The following is a 22,406-nucleotide window of genomic DNA, read 5'->3' as shown; positions in this document are numbered from 1 at the left end:
TATTCCATTCGATGATGATTCCATTCGGGTCCATTTGATGATTCCATTCGATTCAATTCGATGATGATTCCACTCGGGCCCATTCAGTGATTCCATTCTACTCCATTCGATACTGATTCCATTCAAGTCCATTCAATGATTCCATTTGAGTCCATTCAATAATTGCTTTGGATTCCATTCGATGATGATTCCATTTGATTCCATTCGATGATGATTCATTTCAATACTGTTCTATGATTCCATTCGATTCCATTCGATGTTGATTCCATTCGATTCCATCTGATGTTTCTATTCAATTCCTTTCGATGACGATTCCATTCGAGTCCATTTGATGATTTGATTCGAGTCCTTTCGATGATTCCATTCTATTCCATTCAATGATGATTCCATTCGAATCCATTCGATGCTTCCATTCGATTCTTTTGATGATTCCATTCGAGTGCAATTGATGATTCCATTCAATTCCATTTGATGATGATTCTGTATGACTCTATTCCATGATGATTCCATGTGATTCCATTTGAGGATGATTCATTTTGATTCCTTTCGATTATGAATCATTTCAAGTTCATTCAATGATTCCACATGTTTCCATTTGATGATGATTCCATTTGAGTCCATTTGATGATTCCTTTTGAAACCATTCGATGAGGATTCCATTCGATTCCATTCATTGGTGATTCCATTCATTTCCATTCAATGATTCCATTCCATTCAATTCGACAATGATTCCTTTAGGTTCCATTCGATGATTCCACTTGATTCCATTTGACGATGATTCCGCTCGATTCCCTTCATTGGTGATTCCATTCAATTACATTCAATGATTCTATTCCATTCCATTCGATAATGATTCCATTAGATTCCATTTGATGATTCCATTTGATTCCATTTATGATGATTCGATTCGATTCAATTTGATGATTCCATTCAATTCTATTCGATGATGTTTGCATTCGATTCCATTCAGTGATGATTCCATTCTATTCAATCCAATGGTGATTCCAGTCGTGTCCATTAGATGATACCATTCGATTCCATTTGATTATGATTCCATTTTATTCCATTCAGTGATGATTCCATCCAGGTCCGTTAGATGATTCCATTTGATTCCATTCGATGATGATTCCATTATATTCCATTCGATGATGATTCCATTCGGGTCCATTCGATGATTCCATTCGATTCAATTCGATGATGATTCCACTCGGATCCTTTCGGTGATTCCATTCTACTCCATTCGATGATTATTCCATTCAAGTCCATTCTATGATTCTATTTGAGTCCATTCAATAATTGCTTTTGATTCCATTCGATGATGATTCCATTTGATTCCATTCGATGATTCCACTTGATTCCGTTTGACGATGATTCCGTTCAATTCCTTTCATTGGTGATTCCATTAAATTTCATTCAATGATTCCATTCCATTCCATTCGATGATGATTCCCTTAGATTCCATTCGATGATTCCACTTGATTGCATTTACGATGATTCCATTCGATTCCATGTGATGATTCCATTCAATTCTATTCAATGATGTTTCCATTTGATTCCATTCGACCATGATTGCCTTTGATTCCATTCAATGATTCCATTCGGTTCCTTTTGATGATGATTCCGTTCGATTCCATTTGATGATTCCATTTGATTCCATTGGATGAGTCCATTCGATTACATTCGATGATTATTCCATTCGAGTGCATTAGATGATTCCATTCGAGTCCATTCGATGATTCCATTCGATTCCATTCGATGTTGATTCTGTTCAAATCCATTTGATGATTCCACTTGATTCCATTCGATGACTCCATTTGATCCCATTCGATGATTTCCTTTGATTCCCTTTGATGATCATTCCATTTGATTCAATTCGGTGATTTCATTTGATTCCATTCAGTGATGTTTCCATTCAACTCCATTCGATGATGATTCCATTCGACTCCATTCGATTATGATTTCATTCAATTCCATTCGATAATGATTCCCTTCGTGTCCATTCGATGATTTCATTCGATTCCATTCAACGATGATTTGATTCGTGTCCATTCGATGATTCCATTTGATTCCACTTGATGATGATTCCATTCGAGTCCTTTTGATGATTCCATTCAATTCCATTCTCTGATGATTTCTTTTGAGCCCATTCAATGCTTCCACTCGATTCCATATGATGATGACTCCATTCGATTAAATTCGATGATGATTCCATTCGCTTGCTTTCGATGATGATTCCACTTGAGTCCATTAGAAGATTCTATTCAATTACATTCCATGACAATTCCGTTCGAGTCCATTTGATGATTCCATTAGACTCCATTCGACGATGATTCCATTCGATGTTATTCGATGATTCCATTCGATCTCACTCGATGATGATTCCATTCAACTCCATTCGATGTTTCCATTCGAGTTCATTCTATTATTCCATTAGATTCCATTCGATGATGATTCCATTCGATTCCATTTGATGATTGCATTCTACTTCATTTGATGATGATTCCATTCGAGTCCATTCGATGATTCCATTCGAGTCCATTTAATGAATCCATTGGTTTCAATTCTATGATGATTACATTGGATTCCATTCGTTGATGATTTCATTCGATTCCATTCAATGATGATTCCATTCAATTCCATTCAATGATTCCATTCAATTCCATACGATGATGATTCCATTGGATTTGATTCGACAGTGAGCCATTCGATTCAATTCCATGATGATTCTATTTGATTCAATTGGTTGACATTTCCATTCGATTCCATTCGATGATGATTCCATTTGATTCCATTCAAAGATGATTCCATTCTAGCCCATTCAATCATTCCATTCGATTCTATTCAATGATGATTCCATTCATGTCGATTTGGTGATTCCATTTGACTTCATTTGATGATGATTCCTTTCAAGTTCATTAGATGATTCCATTCGATTCCATTTGATGATGATCCCATTCGAGTCCATTCAGTGATTCCACTCGTTTCCATTCCATGATGATTCCATTCCATTCCATTCAATGATTCCATTCGATTCCGTTTGATGATGATTTCATTCGAGTCCATTTGATGATTCCATTTGATTCCATTCGATGATGATTCCATTCGAGTTCATTTGATGATTCTATTCGAATCCATTTGATGATTTCTTTTGATTATATTTGGTGATGATTCCATTGGAGTCCATTCAATGATTCCATTCAATTCCAATCGATGATGATTCCATTAGAGTCCATTTAATGATTCCATTTGATTCCAGTCTCTGATGATTACATTCGAGTCCATACGATGATTCCACTCAATTCCATATCATGATGATTCCATTCGATTCCATTCGATGATTCCATTCTATTCTATTCAATGGTGATTCCATTCGAGTACATTAGATGATTCCATTCGATTCCATTCAATGATGATTCTATTTGTGTCCCTTAGATGATTCCACATGATTCCATTAGATGATGATACTATTTCAGCCCATCCAATGATTCCCTTCGATTCCATTCGATGAGGATTCCATTCGATTCAATTCATTGGTGATTCTATTCAATTCAATTCTTTGATTCCATTCCATTCCATTCGACAATGATTCCATTCGATTTCTTTCGATGATTCCACTCGATTCCACTTGACATTGATTCCATTCGATTCCATTCAATGATTCCGTTTGATTCCAGTGGATGATGATTGCCATCGATTCCATTCGATCACTCCATTCTATTCCATTTGATGATGATTACATTCGATTCCATTTGAGGATTCCATCTGATTCTATTCGAGGATTCCATTTGATTCCATTCGATGATGATTCCATTCGAGTCCATTCGATGATTTCATTCGAGTACATCCAATGATTCCATTCGAGTCCATTTGATGATTCCATTTGATTCCATTTGATTATGATTCTACTAGAGTCCATTCAATGACTCCATTCGAATCCATTCAACAATTCCATTCGAGTCCATTCGATGATTCCATTTGATGATTCCATTCGAGTCCATTTAATCATTACAGTCGAGTCCATTTGGTGATTCCACTGGATTTCTTTTGATAATGATACCATTCAATTACATTTGATGATGATCCCATTCAATTTCATTTGATGATGATTCCATTAGAGTCCATTCCATGATTTCATTCGAGTCCCTTCATTGATTCCATCCGATTTCATTGGATGATGACTCCATTCGAGTCCATTCGATGATTCCACTCGATTCCATTAGATGATTCCATTGGAGTCCATTTGATTGTTCCATTCGATTCCATTCGATTCCTTTCGAAGATTATTCCATTTGAGTCCATTCGATGATGATTCCATTCCATTCCATTCGATGATTCCGTTTGATTCCATTCGATGATTCCCTTTGATTCCTTTCTATGATGATTCCATTCCATTCCATTCAATGATTCCATTCGAATCTATTCCATGATGATTCCTTTCGATTCCATTCGCTGATGTTTCCGTTCAATTCCATTCGATGATGATTCCATTCGATTCCATTCATTGAGGATTCCATTTGATTCCATTCAATGATGATTCCATTCTATTCCATTCAATGATTGCATTCAATTCCATTCAATGATTATCCCATTAGAGTAAGTTCAACGATTCCATACAATACCATTCGATGATGATTCCTTTTGAGTCCATTCAATGATTTCATTCAAGTCCATTTGATGATTCCTTTCAATTCCATTCTATGATGATTCCATTCGAGTCCATTCGATGATTCCATTCGATTGCATTCGATGATTCCATTATATTCCATTCAACGATGGTTCCATTCGAGTCCATTCGATGATTCCATTAGAGTACATTTAATGATTGCTTTGTTTTCAATTCGAAGATGATTACATTGGATTCCATTCTGTGATTCCATTCGATTCCATTCATTGATGATTCCACCCGATTGCATTCGATGATGATTCCATTCGATTTCATTCAATGATTCTACTCGATTCCATTCAATGATGATTCCATTCGATTCCATTCGATGATTCCATTAGATTCCATTCTATGATGATTCCATTCGAGTCAATTCGAAGATTCCATTCGATTATATTCCATGAGGATTCCATTCGAGTCCATTCGATGATTCCATTTGAATCCATTTGACGATGATTCCATTTGATGCTATTCGATGATTCCATTGGATTCCATTCGATGATGATTCCATTCGACTTGATTCGATGATTCTATTTGAGTCCATTCGGTTATTTAATTAGACTACATTCGATGATGATTCCTTTCGATGCCATTCAATGATTCCATTTGATTCCACTCAATGATGATTGCATTCGTGTCCATTCGATGATTCCATTTGGTTCCATTTGATGATGATTCCATTCGAGTCCATTCGATGATACCATTCAATTCCATTTGATGATCATTCCATTTGAATCCATTTGATGATTCCACCCAATTCCATTTGATGACTCCTTTCATTCCTATTCGATGATTCCCTTCAATTCCATTCGATGATCTCTCCATTTGATTCAATATGGTGACTCCATTCTATTATATTCAATGATGATTCCATTCGACTCCATTAGATGATGACTCCATTCCATTCCATTCGATTGTGATTTCATTCGATTCCATTCGAAGATGATTCCATTCGAGTCCATTTGATGATTCCATTCGATTCCATTCAATGATGATTCCACTCAAATCCATTGGATGATTCCATTCGTGTCCATTCGGTGATTTCATTAGATTCCATTCGAGGATGATTCCATTCCATTCCATTCGATGATTCCATTCAATTCCATTCGATGATGATTCCATTCGAGTCCATTCAATGATTCCATTGGATTCCGTTTGATAATGATTCCATTAGAGTTCATTCGATGATTCCCTTCGAGTCCATTCGATTATTCCTTTTGATTCCATTTGATGATGATTCCATTCGATTCCATTCAATGATTCCATTCCATTCCATTCGATGATGATTCCATTCGATAATGATTACATTCGAGCCCATGTGATGATTCCATTAGATTCTATTCAATGATGATTCCATTCGACCACATTCGATGATGGCATTCGAGTCCATTCGACGATTTCACTCGATTCCACTTGATGATGATTCCTTTTGAGTCCATTTGATGATTACATTCGAGTCCATGAGATGACTCCATTTGATTCCGTTTAATGATGATGCAATTCGAGGCTATTCGATCATCCCATTTTAGTGCATTCGGTGATTCACTTTTATTACATTCGATGAGGGCTCCATTCAATGATTCCATTAGATTCCATTCGATGATGATTCCATTTGAGTCCATTCAAAGATTCCTTTCGAGTCCATTCGATAATTCTACTGGATTCCACTAGGTGATGATTCCTTTCGAGTCAATTCGATGATTCCTTTCAAGGGCCTTCAATGATTCCATTCGATTCCATTCGATGACGATTCATTTCAAGTCCATTCAATGGTTCCATTCTGTTGAATTTGATGGTTCCATTTGATTCCATTCGATGATGATTCCATTCGTGTCCATTGGACGATTCCATTCGATTCCTTTCGAGGAAGATTCCATTCGAATCCATTTGATGATTCCGTTCGATTCCATTCCATGATGATTCCATTTGATTCCATTCCATGATTCCATTCGATACCATTCGATGATGATTCCATTCTACTCCATTTGATGAATCCATTCAATGCTCCCATTCGAGTCCATTCGAGGATTCCATTCGATTCCATTCGATGAAGATTCCATTCGAGTACATTTGATGATTCCATTTAATTCCATAGGATGATGATTCTATTAGGGTCCGTTGACTATTCCATTCAATTGCATTCGAAGATTCCATTCGAGTCCACTCAATGATTCTATTTGATTCCATTTGATAATTCCATTCGATTCCATTTGATGTTGAGTCCATTCGAGTCCATTCTATCATTATTACATTTGATTCTATTCGATGATTCCATTCGATTCCATTTGATGAGGATTCCATTCGAGACCATTTGATGATTGCATTCAATTCATTTGATGATGATTCCATTCAATTCCATTGGATGATTCCAATATTTTCCATTACATGATGATTCCATTCGATTCCATTCAATGATGATTCCATCAGAATCCATTCGATGATGACTCCTTTTGCTTCCATTCAATGATCATTACATTCGGTTATATTCGATGATGATTCCTTTGCATTCCATTCGATGATGCTTCCATTCGATTCCATTTGATGATGATTCTTTTCGATTCCATTTGATGATGATTCCATTTGATTCCATTCGATGGTGATTCCATTTGATGATTCCATTCGATTGTATTCGATGATGATTCCACTCGATTCTATTTGATGATGACTGCATTCGATTCTATTTGATGATTCCATTTGATTCCATTCGATGATGATTCTGATCAATTGCATTCGATGATCCATTCGATTCCATTTGATGGTTCCATTTGATTCCATTTGATAATGATTCCTTTCGAGTCCATTCGATGGTTCCATTTGCAGAGATTCGGTAATTCCATTTGAGTCCAATCGATGATTCCATTCGAGACCATTCAATCATTCTTTTTGAGTCCTTTCGATAAAGATTCCATTTTCGTCCATTCAATAATTCCACTGGAGTCCATTCGATGATTGCTTTTAATTCCATTCGATGATATTCCATTCGAGTCCATTCGATGATTCCATTCGTTGCTATTAGATGATGATTCCATTCATGACCATTTGGTGATTCCATTCGATTTCATTCGTTGATGATTCCATTCGAGTCCATTCCATGATTCCATTCAAGTCCATTTGATGATTTCTTTGAATTCAATTCGATGATGATTCCATTCGAGTCCATTCGATGATTCCATTCAGTTCCATTCGATGATGATTCCATTCGTGTCCATATGATGATTCCATTTGATTTCATTCGATGATGATTCCATTCGATTCCATTCGATGATTCCATTCTATTCCATTTGATGATGATTGCATTCGAGTCCATTCGAAGATTCCATTCGAGTCCATTTAATGATTCCATTGGGTTCAATTCAATGATGATTACATTGGATTCCGTTCTATGATTCCATTCCATTCCGTTCATTGACAATTTGATTCCATTCGATGATGATTCCATTTGAGTTCATTCGATGATTCTATTCGATTCTCTTCGATGGTGATTCCATTCTATTACATTGGATGATTCCATTCGATTCCATTTGATGTTGATTCAATTCGATTCTATTCGATGATGATTCCATTGGATTTCATTTGATGATTCTATTCGATTCCATTCAATGATGATTCACTTCTCGTCCATTGGATGATTCCATTTCATTCCATTCGATGATGATTCCATTCGATTCCATTCGATGATTCCATTTGATTCCATTCGACGGTGAGCAATTCGATTCAATTCCATGATGATTCTATTTGATTCAATTAGATGATGTTTCCATTCGAATCCATTCCATGATTATTCCATTGGAATCCATTCGGCGATGATTCCATATGAGTCAATTCAATGATGATTCCATATGGCTCCGTTCGATGATAATTCCATTTGATTTCATTCGATGCTTCTATTCTATTCCAGTCGATGATGATTCCGTTGGAGTCCATACGATGATTCCATTTGATTTCATTTGATGATGATTCCATTCGATTCCAGACTCCATTCTATTCCATTCGATGATGATTCCATTCGAGTCCATTCGATGATTCTATTCGAGTCCATTTAATGATTCCATTGGGTTCAATTCGATGATGGTTACATTGGATTCCATTCTATGATTCCATTCAATTCCATTCGTTGATGATTCGATTCCATTCAATGATGATTCCATTTGAGTTCATTCGATGATTCTATTCGATTCCGTTCGATGGTGATTCAATTCTATTATATTGGATGATTCCATTCGATTCCATTTGATGATGATTCCATTCGATTCCATTCGATGATGATTCCATTTGATTCCATTTGATGTTGATTCCATTGGATTCTATTCAATGATGATTCCATTCGATTTCATTTGATGATTCTAGTAGATTCCTTTCGATGATTCTATTCGATTCCATTCGATGATGATTCAATTCTCTTCCATTGGATGATTCCATTTCATTCCATTCGACGATGACTCCATTTGATTCCATTCAATGATGATTCCATTCGATTCCATTCGGTGATTCCATTTGATTCCATTCGACGGTGAGCAATTCGATTCAATTCCATGATGATTCTATTGGATTCAGTTAGATGATGTTTCCATTCAAATCCATTCGATGATGATTCCATTGGAATCCATTCGACGATGATTCCATATGAGTCAATTCGATGATGATTCCATACGAGTCCATTGGATGATAATTCCATTTGATTTCATTCAATGCTTCTATTCGATTCCATTTGATGATGATTCCATCTGAATCCATTCTCTGATTCCATTCTATTTCATTCGATGCTTCTATTTGATTTCATTGGAAGATGATTCCTTTCAATTCCATTCATTAATTGCATTTGATTCCATTCGATGATGATTCCATCCAATTCCATTGGATGATGATTCCATTCGAGTCCATTCGATGATTCCGTTCTATTCCATTCTATGATTCCATTCGAGTCCATTCGATGATTCCATTCGATTCCATTCAGTGATGATTCCATTTGATTCCATCTGATGATGATTTCATTTGACTCCATTCGATGATGATTCCATTGGAGTCCATTGAATGATTCAATTCAATTCCATTCTATGTGGATTCCATTCGAATTCATTCGATTATTCCATTCAAATCCCTTCGTTGATTCCATCTGATTCCACTTGACGATGATTCCATTCAAGTCCAATCGATGATTCCATTCGGTTCCATTCAATGATTCCATTCGAGTCCATTTTTGTATTCTATTCATGTCCACTTGATGATTCCATTCAATTCCATTTAATGATGATTCCATTTGATGCCATTTGATGATTCAGTTCGATTCCTTGCAATGATTCCCTACGATTCCTTTCTATGGTGATTCCATTCGATTCCATTCATTGATGATTCCATTCGACTCCATTCGATGATGATTCCTTTCGATTCCATTTGAGGATGTTTCCATTAGAGTCCATTCGACGATGATTCTATTCAATTCTGTTCTATTATGATTCCATTCGATTTCATTCATTGATGATTCCATTCGACTCCATTCGACGATGATTCCTTTCCATTCCATTTGACGATGTTTCCATTCGAGTCCATTCGATGATGATTCTATTCAATTCTGTTCTATTATGATTCCATTCGATTTCATTCAATGCTTCTATTTGATTCCATTCGATGATGATTCCATCTCTTTCCCTTCGATGATTCCATTTAATTCCATTCAGTGATGATTCCATTTGATTCCATCTGATGATGATTTCACTTGATTCCTTTCAATGAGGATTCCATCCAAGTCCATTCGATGATTCCAATGGAGTCCAAACGATCATTCCATTCGATTCCATTCAATTCCATTCGAAGATGATTCCATTCAATTCCATTCGATGATGCTTCCGTATGAATCCATTCACTGATTATTCCATTTTATTCCATTCATTGACGATTCCATTCGATTCCATTCAATGATGATTCTCTTCTATTCCATTCGATGATTCCGGTCGATTCCATTCAATGATGATTCCATTAGATTCCATTCGATTGTTGCATTCGATTCCCTTCGATGATGATTCGTTTGAATTCCATTCGATTATGATTCCGTATGAATCCATTTGATGATTATTCCGTTGTATTCCTTTCGATGATGATTCCATTCGATTCCATTTGATGATGTTTCTCTTGTATTCCATTGGATAATTCCTTTCAATTCCCTTCGATGATGATTCTTTCGAGTCAATTCGATGATTCTATTCCATTCCCTTCGATGATGATTCCATTTCACTCCATTCGATGATTCCATTCGACTCAATTTGGTGATGATTCAATTCGATGTCATTCGATGACTCCATTCAATTTCATTTGATGATGATTACATTCGAGTCCATTTGATGATTGTATTCCTTTCCTTTTGATGATTATTCCATTCGTGTCTATTCAAAGATTCCATTCTATTCCATTCAATGATGATTCCATTTGATTCTATTCAATGATTATGGCTATCGATTCCACTCGTTGATTCCATTTGATTCCATTCGATGATTATTCCGTTAGATTCCATTAGAAGATTCCATTCGATTTTATTCAATGATTCCAATTGATTCCATTCAATGATGATTCCATTCGACTCCATTCACTGATTCCATTTGAGTCCATTTGATGATTCCATTCGAGTCCATTTGATGATTCCATTCTTTTCCATTTGATGATGATTCCATTAGGGTCCATTCAATGATTCCATTCGAGTCCATTCGTTAATGCCTTTCGAGTCCTTTTGATCACTACATTCGAGTCCATTCAATGATTCTATTCGATTCCATTCGATGATGATTCCATTCGAGTTCATTCGATGATTGCATTCGAGTCCATTTGATGATTCCATATGATTCCATTCGACAATGATTCCATTCGTGTCCATTTGATGATTCCATTCATTTCCTATCGATGAAGATTCCATTCGAGTGTATTCGATGATTCCATTCAAATGCATTCGATGATGATTCCATTCCAGTCCATTCGATCGTTCCACTTGATTCCATTTGATGACTATTCCATTCAAATCCATTTGATGATTCCATTCGATTCCATTCGATGTTACCATTCGAGTATATATGATGATTCCACTCGATTCCATTTGATGATTATTCCATTGGAGTCCACTTAGTGAATCCTTTAGATTCTACTCGAAGATGATTCCATTCGAGTCCATTCGATGATACCATTCAATTCCATTCGTTGATGCTTCCATTCAAGTGCATTCGATGATATCATTCGATTCCATTTGATGATAATTCCATTTGATTCCATTGGATGATTCTATTCGATTCCATTCAATGATAATTCCATTCAATTCAGTGATTCCTCTGGACTCCATTTGATGATGATTCCATTCAATGATTCCATTCGATTCTATTCGAAAATGATTCCATTTGAATCCATTTGATGATGATTCCATTAGATTCCATTTGATGATTCCATTCGATTCCATTCAATGATAATTCCATTCAATTCAGTGATTCCTCTGGACTCCATTTGATGATGATTCCATTCAATGATTCCATTCGATTCTATTCGAAAATGATTCCATTTGAATCCATTTGATGATGATTCCATTGGATTCCATTTGATGATTCCATTCGATTCCATTCGATGATGATTCCATTCGATTCCATTTGATGATTCCATTCTATTGTATTCGATGATGATTCCATTCGATTCCATTCGATGATGATTGGATTCGATTCCATTTGATGATTTCATTTGATTCCATTCGATAATGATTTCGATCAATTCCATTCGATGATTCCATTCGATTCCATTCGATAATGATTACATCCGAGTCCATTCGATGATTCCATTTGAGCCCGTTCGATAATTCCATTTGAGTCCATTCAATGATTCCATTCATTTCCATTCAATGATTCCATTCGAGTCCATTTGATCATTCCGGTAGGGTCCGTTCGATGTTGATTCCATTGGAGTGCATTCGATGATTCCATTCGAGTCCATTTTATGATTTGATTCGAGTCCTTTCGATGATTCCATTCGATTCCACTCGATGATTTCATTCGAGTCCATTCGACACTTCCAATCGATTCCATTTGATGTTTCCATTCGAGTCCAATTGATGATTCCATTCAATTCCATTCGATGATGATTCCGTACGATTCCATTCTGTGATGATTCCATGTGATTGCATTCAATGATGATTCCTTTCGATTGCATTCGATTATGATTCATTTCGTGTTCATTCTATGGTTCCACAGGTTTCCATTCGTGTCCATTCCATTATTCCATTCTATTCCATTTGATGATGATTCCATTCGATTCCATTCATTGGTGATTCCACTCAATTCCATTCAATGATTCCATTCCATTTCTTTCAACAATGATTCCATTAGTTTCTATTCGATGATCCACTTGATTCCATTTGACGATGATTCCATTCTTGTCCATTCGATGATTCCATTTGATTCCATATGATGATGATTCCATTCGATTCCATACGATGATGATTCCATTCGAGTCCATTCAATGGTGATTCCATTCAATTCCATTCGATGATTCCTTTCGATTCCATTCGATGATGATGGCATTCGATTCCTTTCGATCATTCCCTTTGATTCCATTCAAAGGTGATTTCATTCAAGTCCATTCGATAATTGCATTCGATTCCATTCTATGATGATTCCATTCGAGTCCATTTGATGATTCCATTCAATTCAAGTCAATGATGATTCCATTCGATTCCACTCGATGATTCCATTGGATTCCATTCGATGATGATTCCATTCAAATCCATTCGATAATTCAATTCAAGTCCATTCGATGATGATTCCAATCGAATTCATTCAAAGATTCCACTCAATTTCATTCGATGGTGATTCCATTAGATTCCATTCGATGATTCCACTTGATTCCATTTACGATGATTCCATTTGATTCCATGTGATGATTCCATTCAATTCTATTCAATGATGTTTCCATTTGATTCCATTCGACCATGATTGCCTTTGATTCCATTAAATGATTCCATACGGTTCCATTTGATGATGATTCCGTTCGATTCCATTTGATGATTCCATTTGATTACATTGGATGAGTCCATTCGATTACATTCGATGATTATTCCATTCGAGTGCATTAGATGATTCCATTCGAGTCCATTCGATGATTCCATTCGATTCCATTCGATGTTGATTCTGTTCAAATCCATTCGATGATTCCACTCGATTCTATTCGATGACTCCATTTGATCCCATTCGATGATTTCCTTTGATTCCCTTTGATGATCATTCCATTTGATTCAATTCGGTGATTTCATTTGATTCCATTCAGTGATGTTTCCATTCGACTCCATTCGATGATGATTCCATTCGACTCCATTCGATTATGATTTCATTCAATTTCATTCGCTAATGATTCCCTTGGAGTCCATTCGATGATTCCATTCGATTCCATTCAACGATGATTTGATTCGTGTCCATTCGATGATTCCATTTGATTCCATTTGATGATGATTCCATTCGAGTCCATTTGATGATTCCATTCAATTCCATTCTCCGATGATTTCTTTTGAGCCCATTCAATGCTTCCACTCGATTCCATATGATGATGACTCCATTCGATTAAATTCGATGATGATTCTATTCGCTTGCATTCGATGATGATTCCACTTGAGTCTGTTAGAAGATTCTATTCAATTACATTCCATGACGATTCCGTTCGAGTCCATTTGATGATTCCATTAGACTCCATTCGACGATGATTCCATTCGATGTTATTCGATGATTCCATTCGATCTCATTCGATGATGATTCCATTCAACTCCATTCGATGTTTCCATTCGAGTTCATTCTATTATTCCATTAGATTCAATTCGATGATGATTCCATTCGATTCCATTTGATGATTGCATTCTACTTCATTTGATGATGATTCCATTCGATTCCATTCGATGATTCCATTCGAGTCCATTTAATGAATCCATTGGTTTCAATTCTATGATGATTACATTAGATTCCATTCGTTGATGATTTCATTCGATTCCATTCAATGATGATTCCATTCAATTCCATTCAATGATTCCATTCATTTCCATACGATGATGATTCCATTGGATTTGATTCGACAGTGAGCCATTCGATTCAATTCCATGATGATTCTATTTGATTCAATTGGTTGACATTTCCATTCGATTCCATTCGATGATGATTCCATTTGATTCCATTCAAAGATGATTCCATTCTAGCCCATTCAATCATTCCATTCGATTCTATTCAATGATGATTCCATTCATGTCGATTTGGTGATTCCATTTGACTTCATTTGATGATGATTCCTTTCAAGTTCATTAGATGATTCCATTCGATTCCATTTGATGATGATCCCATTTGAGTCCATTCAGTGATTCCACTCGTTTCCATTCCATGATGATTCCATTCCATTCCATTCAATGATTCCATTCGATTCCGTTTGATGATGATTTCATTCGAGTCCATTTGATGATTCCATTTGATTCCATTCGATGATGATTCCATTCGAGTCCATTCGATGATTCTATTCGAATCCATTTGATGATTTCTTTTGATTATATTTGGTGATGATTCCATTGGAGTCCATTCAATGATTCCATTCGATTCCAATCGATGATGATTCCATTAGAGTCCATTTAATGATTCCATTTGATTCCAGTCTCTGATGATTACATTCGAGTCCGTACGATGATTCCACTCAATTCCATATGATGATGATTCCATTCGATTCCATTCGATGATTCCATTCTATTCTATTCAATGGTGATTCCATTCGAGTACATTAGATGATTCCATTCGATTCCATTCAATGATGATTCTATTTGTGTCCCTTAGATGATTCCACATGATTCCATTAGATGATGATACTATTTCAGCCCATCCAATGATTCCCTTCGATTCCATTCGATGAGGATTCCATTCGATTCAATTCATTGGTGATTCTATTCAATTCAATTCTTTGATTCCATTGCATTCCATTCGACAATGATTCCATTCGATTTCTTTCGATGATTCCACTCGATTCCACTTGACATTGATTCCATTCGATTCCATTCAATGATTCCGTTTGATTCCAGTGGATGATGATTGCCATTGATTCCATTCGATCACTCCATTCTATTCCATTTGATGATGATTACATTCGATTCCATTTGATGATTCCATCTGATTCTATTCGAGGATTCCATTTGATTCCATTCGATGATGATTCCATTTGAGTCCATTCGATGATTTCATTCGAGTACATCCAATGATTCCATTCGAGTCCATTTGATGATTCCATTTGATTCCATTTGATTATGTTTCTACTAGAGTCCATTCAATGACTCCATTCGAGTCCATTCAAAAATTCCATTCGAGTCCATTCGATGATTCCATTCGATTCCATTTGATGATTCCATTCGAGTCCATTTAATCATTACAGTCGAGTCCATTTGGTGATTCCACTGGATTTCTTTTGATAATGATACCATTCAATTACATTTGATGATGATCCCATTCAATTTCATTTGATGATGATTCCATTAGAGTCCATTCGATGATTTCATTCGAGTCCCTTCATTGATTCCATCCGATCTCATTTGATGATGATTCCATTCGAGTCCATTCGATGATTCCACTCGATTCCATTAGATGATTCCATTGGAGTCCATTTCATTGTTCCATTCGATTCCATTCGATTCCTTTCGAAGATTATTCCATTTGAGTCCATTCGATGATGATTCCATTCCATTCCATTCCATTCGATGATTCCGTTTGATTCCATTCGATGATTCCCTTTGATTCCTTTCTGTGATGATTCCATTCCATTCCATTCAATGATTCCATTCGAATCTATTCCATGATGATTCCTTTCGATTCCATTCGCTGATGTTTCCGTTCAATTCCATTCGATGATGATTCCATTCGATTCCATTCATTGAGGATTCCATTTGATTCCATTCAATGATGATTCCATTCTATTCCATTCAATGATTGCATTCAATTCCATTCAATGATTATCCCATTAGAGTAAACTCAACGATTCCATTCAATACCATTCGATGATGATTCCTTTTGAGTCCATTCAATGATTTCATTCAATTCCATTTGATGATTCCTTTCAATTCCATTCTATGATGATTCCATTCGAGTCCATTCGATGATTCCATTCGATTGCATGCGATGATTCCATTATATTCCATTCAACGATGATTCCATTCGAGTCCATTCGATGATTCCATTAGAGTACATTTAATGATTGCTTTGTTTTCTATTCGAAGATGATTACATTGGATTCCATTCTATGATTCCATTCGATTCCATTCATTGATGATTCCACCCGATTCCATTCGATGATGATTCCATTCGATTTCATTGAATGATTCTACTCGATTGCATTCAATGTTGATTCAATTCTATTCCGTTCGATGATTCCATTAGATTCCATTCTATGATGATTCCATTCGAGTCCATTCGAAGATTCCATTCGATTACATTCCATGACGATTCCATTCGAGTCCATTCGATGATTCCATTTGAATCCATTCGACGATGATTCCATTTGATGCTATTCGATGATTCCATTGGATTCCATTCGATGATGATTCCATTCGACTTGAATCGATGATTCTATTTGAGTCCATTCGGTTATTTTATTAGACTACATTCGATGATGATTCCATTCGATGCCATTCAAAGATTCCATTTGATTCCACTCAATGATGATTGCATTCGTGTCCATTCGATGATTCCATTTGGTTCCATTTGATGATGATTCCATTCGAGTCCATTCGATGATACCATTCAATTCCATTCGATGATCATTCCATTCGAATCGATTTGATGATTCCACTCAATTCCATTTGATGACTCCTTTCATTCCCATTCGATGATTCCCTTCAATTCCATTCGATGATCTTTCCATTTGATTCAATATGGTGATTCCATTCTATTATATTCAATGATGATTCCATTCGACTCCATTACATGATGACTCCATTCCATTCCATTCGATTGTGATTTCATTCGATTCCATTCGAAGATGATTCCATTCGAGTCCATTTGATGATTCCATTCGATTCCATTCAATGATGATTCCACTCAAATCCATTGGATGATTCCATTCGTGTCCATTCGGTGATTTCATTAGATTCCATTCGAGGATGATTCCATTCCATTCCATTCGATGATTCCATTCAATTCCATTCGATGATGATTCCATTCGAGTCCATTCAATGATTCCATTGGATTCCGTTTGATAATGATTCCATTAGAGTTCATTCGATGATTCCCTTCGAGTCCATTCGATTATTCCTTTTGATTCCATTTGATGATGATTCCATTCGATTCCATTCAATGATTCCATTCCATTCCATTCGATGATGATTCCATTCGATAATGATTACATTCGAGCCCATGTGATGATTCCATTCGATTCTATTCAATGATGATTCCATTCGACCACATTCGATGAAGGCATTCGAGTCCATTCGACGATTTCACTCGATTCCACTTGATGATGATTCCTTTTGAGTCCATTTGATGATTACATTCGAGTCCATGAGATGACTCCATTCGATTCCGTTTAATGATGATGCAATTCGAGGCTATTCGATCATCCCATTTTAGTGCATTCGGTGATTCTCTTTTATTACATTCGATGAGGGCTCCATTCAATGATTCCATTAGATTCCATTCGATGATGATTCCATTTGAGTCCATTCAAAGATTCCTTTCGAGTCCATTCGATAATTCTATTGGATTCCACTAGGTGATGATTCCTTTTGAGTCAATTCGATGATTCCTTTCAAGGGCCTTCAATGATTCCATTCGATTCCATTCGATGACGATTCATTTCCAGTCCATTCAATGGTTCCATTCTGTTGAATTTGATGGTTCCATTTGATTCCATTCGATGATGATTCCATTCGTGTCCATTGGACGATTCCATTCGATTCCTTTCGAGGAAGATTCCATTCGACTCCATTCGATGATTCCGTTCGATTCCATTCCATGATGATTCCATTTGATTCCATTCCATGATTCCATTCGATACCATTCGATGATGATTCCATTCGGCTCCATTTGATGAATCCATTCAATGCTTCCATTCGAGTCCATTCGAGGATTCCATTCGTTGCTATTAGATGATGATTCCATTCATGACCATTTGGTGATTCCATTCGATTTCATTCGTTGATGATTCCATTCGAGTCCATTCCATGATTCCATTCGAGTCCATTCGATGATTCCGTTCTATTCCATTCTATGATTCCATTCGAGTCCATTCGATGATTCCATTCGATTCTATTCAGTGATGATTCCATTTGATTCCATGTGATGATGATTTCATTTGACTCCATTCGATGATGATTCCATTGGAGTCCATTGAATGATTCAATTCAATTCCATTCTATGTGGATTCCATTCGAATTCATTCGATTATTCCATTCAAATCCCTTCGTTGATTCCATCTGATTCCACTTGACGATGATTCCATTCAAGTCCAATCGATGATTCCATTCGGTTCCATTCAATGATTCCATTCGAGTCCATTTTTGTATTCTATTCATGTCCACTTGATGATTCCCTTCAATTCCATTTAATGATGATTCCATTTGATGCCATTTGATGATTCAGTTCGATTCCTTGCAATGATTCCCTATGATTCCTTTCTATGATGATTCCATTCGATTCCATTCATTGATGATTCCATTCGACTCCATTCGATGATGGTTCCTTTCGATTCCATTTGACGATGTTTCCATTAGAGTCCATTCGACGATGATTGTATTCAATTCTGTTCTATTATGATTCCATTCGATTTCATTCATTGATGATTCCATTCGACTCCATTCGACGATGATTCCTTTCCATTCCATTTGACGATGTTTCCATTCGAGTCCATTCGATGATGATTCTATTCAATTCTGTTCTATTATGATTCCATTCGATTTCATTCAATGCTTCTATTTGATTCCATTCGATGATGATTCCATCTCTTTCCCTTCGATGATTCCATTTCATTCCATTCAGTGATGATTCCATTTGATTCCATCTGATGATGATTTCACTTGATTCCTTTCAATGATGATTCCATTCAAGTCCATTCGATGATTCCATTGGAGTCCAAACGATCATTCCATTCGATTCCATTCAATTCCATTCGAAGATGATTCCATTCAATTCCATTCGATGATGCTTCCGTATGAATCCATTCACTGATTATTCCATTCGATTCCATTCATTGACGATTCCATTCGATTCCATTCAATGATGATTCTCTTCTATTCCATTCGATGATTCCGGTCGATTCCATTCGATGATGATTCCATTAGATTCCATTCGATTGTTGCATTCGATTCCCTTCGATGAAGATTCGTTTGAATTGCATTCGATTATGATTCCGTATGAATCCATTTGATGATTATTCCATTGGATTCCTTTCGATGATGATTCCATTCGATTCCATTTGATGATGTTTCTCTTGTATTCCATTTGATAATTCCTTTCAATTCCCTTCGATGATGATTCTTTCGAGTCAATTCGATGATTCTATTCCATTCCCTTCGATGATGATTCCATTTCACTCCATTCGATGATTCCATTCGACTCAATTTGGTGATGATTCAATTCGATGACATTCGATGACTCCATTCAATTTCATTTGATGATGATTACATTCGAGTCCATTTGATGATTGTATTCCTTTCCTTTTGATGATTATTCCATTCGTGTCTATTCAAAGATTCCATTCTATTCCATTCAACGATGATTCCATTTGATTCTATTCAATGATTATGGCTATCGATTCCACTCGTTGATTCCATTTGATTCCATTCGATGATTATTCCGTTAGATTCCATTAGAAGATTCCATTCGATTTTATTCAATGATTCCAATGGATTCCATTGGAATCATCAACGAATGAAATCGAATGGAATCACCAAATTGTCATGAATGGAATAATCATCTAATAGCAACGAATGGAATCATCGAATGGACTCGAATGGAATATCATCGAATGGAATTAAAAGCAATCATCGAATGGACTCCAGTGGAATTATTGAATGGACTCAAATGGAATCTTTATCGAAAGGACTCAAAAAGAATGATTGAATATTCTCGAATGGAATCATCGATTGGACTCAAATGGAATTATCGAATATCCGCAAATGGAATCATCGAATGGACTCGAAAGGAATCATTATCAAATGGAATCAAATGGAACCATAAAATGGAATCGAATGAATGATCGAATGCAATTGATCAGAATCATCATCGAATGGAATCAAATGGAATCATCAAATGGAATCGTATGCAGTCATCATCAAATGGAATCGAGTGGAATCCTCATCGAATACAAAAGAATGGAATCATCAAATGGAATCAAATGGAATCACCATCGAATGGAATCAAATGGAATCATCATCAAATGGAATCGAAAAGAATCATCATCAAATGGAATCGAATGGAAGCATCATCAAATGGAATCCAAAGGAATCATCATCGAATGTAACCGAATGTAATGTTCATTGAATGGAAGCAAAAGGAGTCATCATCGAATGGATTCTGATGGAATCATCATTGAATAGAATCGAATGGAATCATCATCTAATGGAAAATATTGGAATCATCCAATGGAATTGAATGGAATCATCATCAAATGAATTGAATGCAGTCATCAAATGCTCTCGAATGGAATCCTCATCAAATGGAATCGAATGGAATCATCGAATAGAATCAAATGTAATAATGATCGAATGGACTGGAATGGAATCAACATCAAATGGAATCGAATGGAATTATCAAATGGAATCAAATAGAATCATCGAGTGGACTCGAATGCAATCTTCGAATGGAATTGAATGGAATAGTCAAAGGACCCTAACAGAATCATCATCCTATGGAATTAAATGGAATCATCAAATGTACTCGAATGGAATCTTCATCGAATGGAATCGAATGAAATCCTCGAATGGACTCGAATGGAAGCATTGAATGGATTCATCAAATGGAGTCGAATGGAATCATCATCGAATGTTATCGAATGGAATCATGGAATGGAATCAAATGGAATCATCATGGAATGGAATCGAATGGAATCATCGAATGGAGTCGAATGGAATCTTCCTCGAAAGGAATCGAATGGAATCGTCCAATGGACACGAATGGAATCATCATCGAATGGAATCAAATGGAACCATCAAATTCAACAGAATGGAATCATTGTATGGACTTGAAATGAATCGTCATCGAATGGAATCGAATGGAATCATTGAAGGCCCTTGAAAGGAATCATCGAATTGACTCGAAAGGAATCATCACCTAGTGGAATCCAATAGAATTATGGAATGGACTCGAAAGGAATCTTTGAATGGAATCAAATGCAATCATCATTGAATGGAATAGAATGGAACCTTTGAATAGACACGAATGGAATAATCATCAAAAGGAAAGGAATACAATCATCAAATGGACTCGAATGTAATCATCATCAAATGAAATTGAATGGAGTCATCGAATGTCATCGAATTGAATCATCACCAAATTGAGTCGAATGGAATCATCAAATGGAGTGAAATGGAATCATCATCGAAGGGAATGGAATAGAATCATCGAATTGACTCGAAAGAATAATCATCGTAGGGAACTGAAAGGAATTATCCAATGGAATACAAGAGAAACATCATCAAATGGAATTGAATGGAATCATCATCGAAAGGAATCCAATGGAATAATCATCAAATGGATTCATACGGAATGATAATCGAATGGAATTC

General features: G+C 36.2%; 32 annotated features.

Annotated features, from left to right (window-relative positions):
• Positions 1,124-2,089: an enhancer, noted in NCBI's record as "OCT4-NANOG-H3K27ac-H3K4me1 hESC enhancer chr16:46434912-46435877 (GRCh37/hg19 assembly coordinates)". NCBI's record gives its function as "activates a minimal SCP1, AML or CMV promoter by ChIP-STARR-seq in naive and primed H9 embryonic stem cells {active_cell/tissue: H9 hESC(naive and primed)}" and the evidence as "EXISTENCE:reporter gene assay evidence [ECO:0000049][PMID:30033119]".
• Positions 2,090-3,056: an enhancer, noted in NCBI's record as "OCT4-NANOG-H3K27ac-H3K4me1 hESC enhancer chr16:46433945-46434911 (GRCh37/hg19 assembly coordinates)". NCBI's record gives its function as "activates a minimal SCP1, AML or CMV promoter by ChIP-STARR-seq in naive and primed H9 embryonic stem cells {active_cell/tissue: H9 hESC(naive and primed)}" and the evidence as "EXISTENCE:reporter gene assay evidence [ECO:0000049][PMID:30033119]".
• Positions 3,057-4,022: an enhancer, noted in NCBI's record as "OCT4-NANOG-H3K27ac-H3K4me1 hESC enhancer chr16:46432979-46433944 (GRCh37/hg19 assembly coordinates)". NCBI's record gives its function as "activates a minimal SCP1, AML or CMV promoter by ChIP-STARR-seq in naive H9 embryonic stem cells {active_cell/tissue: H9 hESC(naive)}" and the evidence as "EXISTENCE:reporter gene assay evidence [ECO:0000049][PMID:30033119]".
• Positions 4,023-4,990: an enhancer, noted in NCBI's record as "OCT4-NANOG-H3K27ac-H3K4me1 hESC enhancer chr16:46432011-46432978 (GRCh37/hg19 assembly coordinates)". NCBI's record gives its function as "activates a minimal SCP1, AML or CMV promoter by ChIP-STARR-seq in naive and primed H9 embryonic stem cells {active_cell/tissue: H9 hESC(naive and primed)}" and the evidence as "EXISTENCE:reporter gene assay evidence [ECO:0000049][PMID:30033119]".
• Positions 5,579-6,124: an enhancer, noted in NCBI's record as "OCT4-NANOG-H3K27ac hESC enhancer chr16:46410251-46410796 (GRCh37/hg19 assembly coordinates)". NCBI's record gives its function as "activates a minimal SCP1, AML or CMV promoter by ChIP-STARR-seq in naive and primed H9 embryonic stem cells {active_cell/tissue: H9 hESC(naive and primed)}" and the evidence as "EXISTENCE:reporter gene assay evidence [ECO:0000049][PMID:30033119]".
• Positions 6,670-7,175: an enhancer, noted in NCBI's record as "OCT4-NANOG hESC enhancer chr16:46429826-46430331 (GRCh37/hg19 assembly coordinates)". NCBI's record gives its function as "activates a minimal SCP1, AML or CMV promoter by ChIP-STARR-seq in primed H9 embryonic stem cells {active_cell/tissue: H9 hESC(primed)}" and the evidence as "EXISTENCE:reporter gene assay evidence [ECO:0000049][PMID:30033119]".
• Positions 7,176-7,680: an enhancer, noted in NCBI's record as "OCT4-NANOG-H3K27ac hESC enhancer chr16:46429321-46429825 (GRCh37/hg19 assembly coordinates)". NCBI's record gives its function as "activates a minimal SCP1, AML or CMV promoter by ChIP-STARR-seq in naive and primed H9 embryonic stem cells {active_cell/tissue: H9 hESC(naive and primed)}" and the evidence as "EXISTENCE:reporter gene assay evidence [ECO:0000049][PMID:30033119]".
• Positions 7,681-8,187: an enhancer, noted in NCBI's record as "OCT4-NANOG-H3K27ac-H3K4me1 hESC enhancer chr16:46428814-46429320 (GRCh37/hg19 assembly coordinates)". NCBI's record gives its function as "activates a minimal SCP1, AML or CMV promoter by ChIP-STARR-seq in naive and primed H9 embryonic stem cells {active_cell/tissue: H9 hESC(naive and primed)}" and the evidence as "EXISTENCE:reporter gene assay evidence [ECO:0000049][PMID:30033119]".
• Positions 8,188-8,692: an enhancer, noted in NCBI's record as "OCT4-NANOG-H3K27ac-H3K4me1 hESC enhancer chr16:46428309-46428813 (GRCh37/hg19 assembly coordinates)". NCBI's record gives its function as "activates a minimal SCP1, AML or CMV promoter by ChIP-STARR-seq in naive and primed H9 embryonic stem cells {active_cell/tissue: H9 hESC(naive and primed)}" and the evidence as "EXISTENCE:reporter gene assay evidence [ECO:0000049][PMID:30033119]".
• Positions 8,693-9,198: an enhancer, noted in NCBI's record as "OCT4-NANOG-H3K27ac-H3K4me1 hESC enhancer chr16:46427803-46428308 (GRCh37/hg19 assembly coordinates)". NCBI's record gives its function as "activates a minimal SCP1, AML or CMV promoter by ChIP-STARR-seq in naive and primed H9 embryonic stem cells {active_cell/tissue: H9 hESC(naive and primed)}" and the evidence as "EXISTENCE:reporter gene assay evidence [ECO:0000049][PMID:30033119]".
• Positions 9,199-9,704: an enhancer, noted in NCBI's record as "OCT4-NANOG-H3K27ac-H3K4me1 hESC enhancer chr16:46427297-46427802 (GRCh37/hg19 assembly coordinates)". NCBI's record gives its function as "activates a minimal SCP1, AML or CMV promoter by ChIP-STARR-seq in naive and primed H9 embryonic stem cells {active_cell/tissue: H9 hESC(naive and primed)}" and the evidence as "EXISTENCE:reporter gene assay evidence [ECO:0000049][PMID:30033119]".
• Positions 9,705-10,211: an enhancer, noted in NCBI's record as "OCT4-NANOG-H3K27ac-H3K4me1 hESC enhancer chr16:46426790-46427296 (GRCh37/hg19 assembly coordinates)". NCBI's record gives its function as "activates a minimal SCP1, AML or CMV promoter by ChIP-STARR-seq in primed H9 embryonic stem cells {active_cell/tissue: H9 hESC(primed)}" and the evidence as "EXISTENCE:reporter gene assay evidence [ECO:0000049][PMID:30033119]".
• Positions 10,212-10,716: an enhancer, noted in NCBI's record as "OCT4-NANOG-H3K27ac hESC enhancer chr16:46426285-46426789 (GRCh37/hg19 assembly coordinates)". NCBI's record gives its function as "activates a minimal SCP1, AML or CMV promoter by ChIP-STARR-seq in naive and primed H9 embryonic stem cells {active_cell/tissue: H9 hESC(naive and primed)}" and the evidence as "EXISTENCE:reporter gene assay evidence [ECO:0000049][PMID:30033119]".
• Positions 10,717-11,222: an enhancer, noted in NCBI's record as "OCT4-NANOG-H3K27ac hESC enhancer chr16:46425779-46426284 (GRCh37/hg19 assembly coordinates)". NCBI's record gives its function as "activates a minimal SCP1, AML or CMV promoter by ChIP-STARR-seq in naive and primed H9 embryonic stem cells {active_cell/tissue: H9 hESC(naive and primed)}" and the evidence as "EXISTENCE:reporter gene assay evidence [ECO:0000049][PMID:30033119]".
• Positions 11,729-12,234: an enhancer, noted in NCBI's record as "OCT4-NANOG-H3K27ac-H3K4me1 hESC enhancer chr16:46424767-46425272 (GRCh37/hg19 assembly coordinates)". NCBI's record gives its function as "activates a minimal SCP1, AML or CMV promoter by ChIP-STARR-seq in naive and primed H9 embryonic stem cells {active_cell/tissue: H9 hESC(naive and primed)}" and the evidence as "EXISTENCE:reporter gene assay evidence [ECO:0000049][PMID:30033119]".
• Positions 12,235-12,740: an enhancer, noted in NCBI's record as "OCT4-NANOG-H3K27ac-H3K4me1 hESC enhancer chr16:46424261-46424766 (GRCh37/hg19 assembly coordinates)". NCBI's record gives its function as "activates a minimal SCP1, AML or CMV promoter by ChIP-STARR-seq in naive and primed H9 embryonic stem cells {active_cell/tissue: H9 hESC(naive and primed)}" and the evidence as "EXISTENCE:reporter gene assay evidence [ECO:0000049][PMID:30033119]".
• Positions 12,741-13,246: an enhancer, noted in NCBI's record as "OCT4-NANOG-H3K27ac-H3K4me1 hESC enhancer chr16:46423755-46424260 (GRCh37/hg19 assembly coordinates)". NCBI's record gives its function as "activates a minimal SCP1, AML or CMV promoter by ChIP-STARR-seq in naive and primed H9 embryonic stem cells {active_cell/tissue: H9 hESC(naive and primed)}" and the evidence as "EXISTENCE:reporter gene assay evidence [ECO:0000049][PMID:30033119]".
• Positions 13,247-13,752: an enhancer, noted in NCBI's record as "OCT4-NANOG-H3K27ac-H3K4me1 hESC enhancer chr16:46423249-46423754 (GRCh37/hg19 assembly coordinates)". NCBI's record gives its function as "activates a minimal SCP1, AML or CMV promoter by ChIP-STARR-seq in naive and primed H9 embryonic stem cells {active_cell/tissue: H9 hESC(naive and primed)}" and the evidence as "EXISTENCE:reporter gene assay evidence [ECO:0000049][PMID:30033119]".
• Positions 13,753-14,259: an enhancer, noted in NCBI's record as "OCT4-NANOG-H3K27ac-H3K4me1 hESC enhancer chr16:46422742-46423248 (GRCh37/hg19 assembly coordinates)". NCBI's record gives its function as "activates a minimal SCP1, AML or CMV promoter by ChIP-STARR-seq in naive and primed H9 embryonic stem cells {active_cell/tissue: H9 hESC(naive and primed)}" and the evidence as "EXISTENCE:reporter gene assay evidence [ECO:0000049][PMID:30033119]".
• Positions 14,260-14,764: an enhancer, noted in NCBI's record as "OCT4-NANOG-H3K27ac-H3K4me1 hESC enhancer chr16:46422237-46422741 (GRCh37/hg19 assembly coordinates)". NCBI's record gives its function as "activates a minimal SCP1, AML or CMV promoter by ChIP-STARR-seq in naive and primed H9 embryonic stem cells {active_cell/tissue: H9 hESC(naive and primed)}" and the evidence as "EXISTENCE:reporter gene assay evidence [ECO:0000049][PMID:30033119]".
• Positions 14,765-15,270: an enhancer, noted in NCBI's record as "OCT4-NANOG-H3K27ac-H3K4me1 hESC enhancer chr16:46421731-46422236 (GRCh37/hg19 assembly coordinates)". NCBI's record gives its function as "activates a minimal SCP1, AML or CMV promoter by ChIP-STARR-seq in naive and primed H9 embryonic stem cells {active_cell/tissue: H9 hESC(naive and primed)}" and the evidence as "EXISTENCE:reporter gene assay evidence [ECO:0000049][PMID:30033119]".
• Positions 15,271-15,776: an enhancer, noted in NCBI's record as "OCT4-NANOG-H3K27ac-H3K4me1 hESC enhancer chr16:46421225-46421730 (GRCh37/hg19 assembly coordinates)". NCBI's record gives its function as "activates a minimal SCP1, AML or CMV promoter by ChIP-STARR-seq in naive H9 embryonic stem cells {active_cell/tissue: H9 hESC(naive)}" and the evidence as "EXISTENCE:reporter gene assay evidence [ECO:0000049][PMID:30033119]".
• Positions 15,777-16,282: an enhancer, noted in NCBI's record as "OCT4-NANOG-H3K27ac-H3K4me1 hESC enhancer chr16:46420719-46421224 (GRCh37/hg19 assembly coordinates)". NCBI's record gives its function as "activates a minimal SCP1, AML or CMV promoter by ChIP-STARR-seq in naive and primed H9 embryonic stem cells {active_cell/tissue: H9 hESC(naive and primed)}" and the evidence as "EXISTENCE:reporter gene assay evidence [ECO:0000049][PMID:30033119]".
• Positions 16,283-16,788: an enhancer, noted in NCBI's record as "OCT4-NANOG-H3K27ac-H3K4me1 hESC enhancer chr16:46420213-46420718 (GRCh37/hg19 assembly coordinates)". NCBI's record gives its function as "activates a minimal SCP1, AML or CMV promoter by ChIP-STARR-seq in naive and primed H9 embryonic stem cells {active_cell/tissue: H9 hESC(naive and primed)}" and the evidence as "EXISTENCE:reporter gene assay evidence [ECO:0000049][PMID:30033119]".
• Positions 16,789-17,294: an enhancer, noted in NCBI's record as "OCT4-NANOG-H3K27ac-H3K4me1 hESC enhancer chr16:46419707-46420212 (GRCh37/hg19 assembly coordinates)". NCBI's record gives its function as "activates a minimal SCP1, AML or CMV promoter by ChIP-STARR-seq in naive and primed H9 embryonic stem cells {active_cell/tissue: H9 hESC(naive and primed)}" and the evidence as "EXISTENCE:reporter gene assay evidence [ECO:0000049][PMID:30033119]".
• Positions 17,295-17,800: an enhancer, noted in NCBI's record as "OCT4-NANOG-H3K27ac hESC enhancer chr16:46419201-46419706 (GRCh37/hg19 assembly coordinates)". NCBI's record gives its function as "activates a minimal SCP1, AML or CMV promoter by ChIP-STARR-seq in naive and primed H9 embryonic stem cells {active_cell/tissue: H9 hESC(naive and primed)}" and the evidence as "EXISTENCE:reporter gene assay evidence [ECO:0000049][PMID:30033119]".
• Positions 17,801-18,306: an enhancer, noted in NCBI's record as "OCT4-NANOG-H3K27ac hESC enhancer chr16:46418695-46419200 (GRCh37/hg19 assembly coordinates)". NCBI's record gives its function as "activates a minimal SCP1, AML or CMV promoter by ChIP-STARR-seq in primed H9 embryonic stem cells {active_cell/tissue: H9 hESC(primed)}" and the evidence as "EXISTENCE:reporter gene assay evidence [ECO:0000049][PMID:30033119]".
• Positions 18,307-18,812: an enhancer, noted in NCBI's record as "OCT4-NANOG-H3K27ac hESC enhancer chr16:46418189-46418694 (GRCh37/hg19 assembly coordinates)". NCBI's record gives its function as "activates a minimal SCP1, AML or CMV promoter by ChIP-STARR-seq in primed H9 embryonic stem cells {active_cell/tissue: H9 hESC(primed)}" and the evidence as "EXISTENCE:reporter gene assay evidence [ECO:0000049][PMID:30033119]".
• Positions 18,813-19,318: an enhancer, noted in NCBI's record as "OCT4-NANOG-H3K27ac-H3K4me1 hESC enhancer chr16:46417683-46418188 (GRCh37/hg19 assembly coordinates)". NCBI's record gives its function as "activates a minimal SCP1, AML or CMV promoter by ChIP-STARR-seq in naive and primed H9 embryonic stem cells {active_cell/tissue: H9 hESC(naive and primed)}" and the evidence as "EXISTENCE:reporter gene assay evidence [ECO:0000049][PMID:30033119]".
• Positions 19,319-19,824: an enhancer, noted in NCBI's record as "OCT4-NANOG-H3K27ac-H3K4me1 hESC enhancer chr16:46417177-46417682 (GRCh37/hg19 assembly coordinates)". NCBI's record gives its function as "activates a minimal SCP1, AML or CMV promoter by ChIP-STARR-seq in naive and primed H9 embryonic stem cells {active_cell/tissue: H9 hESC(naive and primed)}" and the evidence as "EXISTENCE:reporter gene assay evidence [ECO:0000049][PMID:30033119]".
• Positions 19,825-20,330: an enhancer, noted in NCBI's record as "OCT4-NANOG-H3K27ac-H3K4me1 hESC enhancer chr16:46416671-46417176 (GRCh37/hg19 assembly coordinates)". NCBI's record gives its function as "activates a minimal SCP1, AML or CMV promoter by ChIP-STARR-seq in naive H9 embryonic stem cells {active_cell/tissue: H9 hESC(naive)}" and the evidence as "EXISTENCE:reporter gene assay evidence [ECO:0000049][PMID:30033119]".
• Positions 20,331-20,836: an enhancer, noted in NCBI's record as "OCT4-NANOG-H3K27ac-H3K4me1 hESC enhancer chr16:46416165-46416670 (GRCh37/hg19 assembly coordinates)". NCBI's record gives its function as "activates a minimal SCP1, AML or CMV promoter by ChIP-STARR-seq in naive H9 embryonic stem cells {active_cell/tissue: H9 hESC(naive)}" and the evidence as "EXISTENCE:reporter gene assay evidence [ECO:0000049][PMID:30033119]".

Source organism: Homo sapiens, chromosome 16, assembly GCF_000001405.40.
Source record: "Homo sapiens chromosome 16, GRCh38.p14 Primary Assembly".
Lineage (NCBI taxonomy): Eukaryota > Metazoa > Chordata > Mammalia > Primates > Hominidae > Homo > Homo sapiens.
The sequence above is the reverse complement of the archived record's forward strand: the minus strand, read 5'-3'. Positions and strand labels throughout refer to the sequence as shown.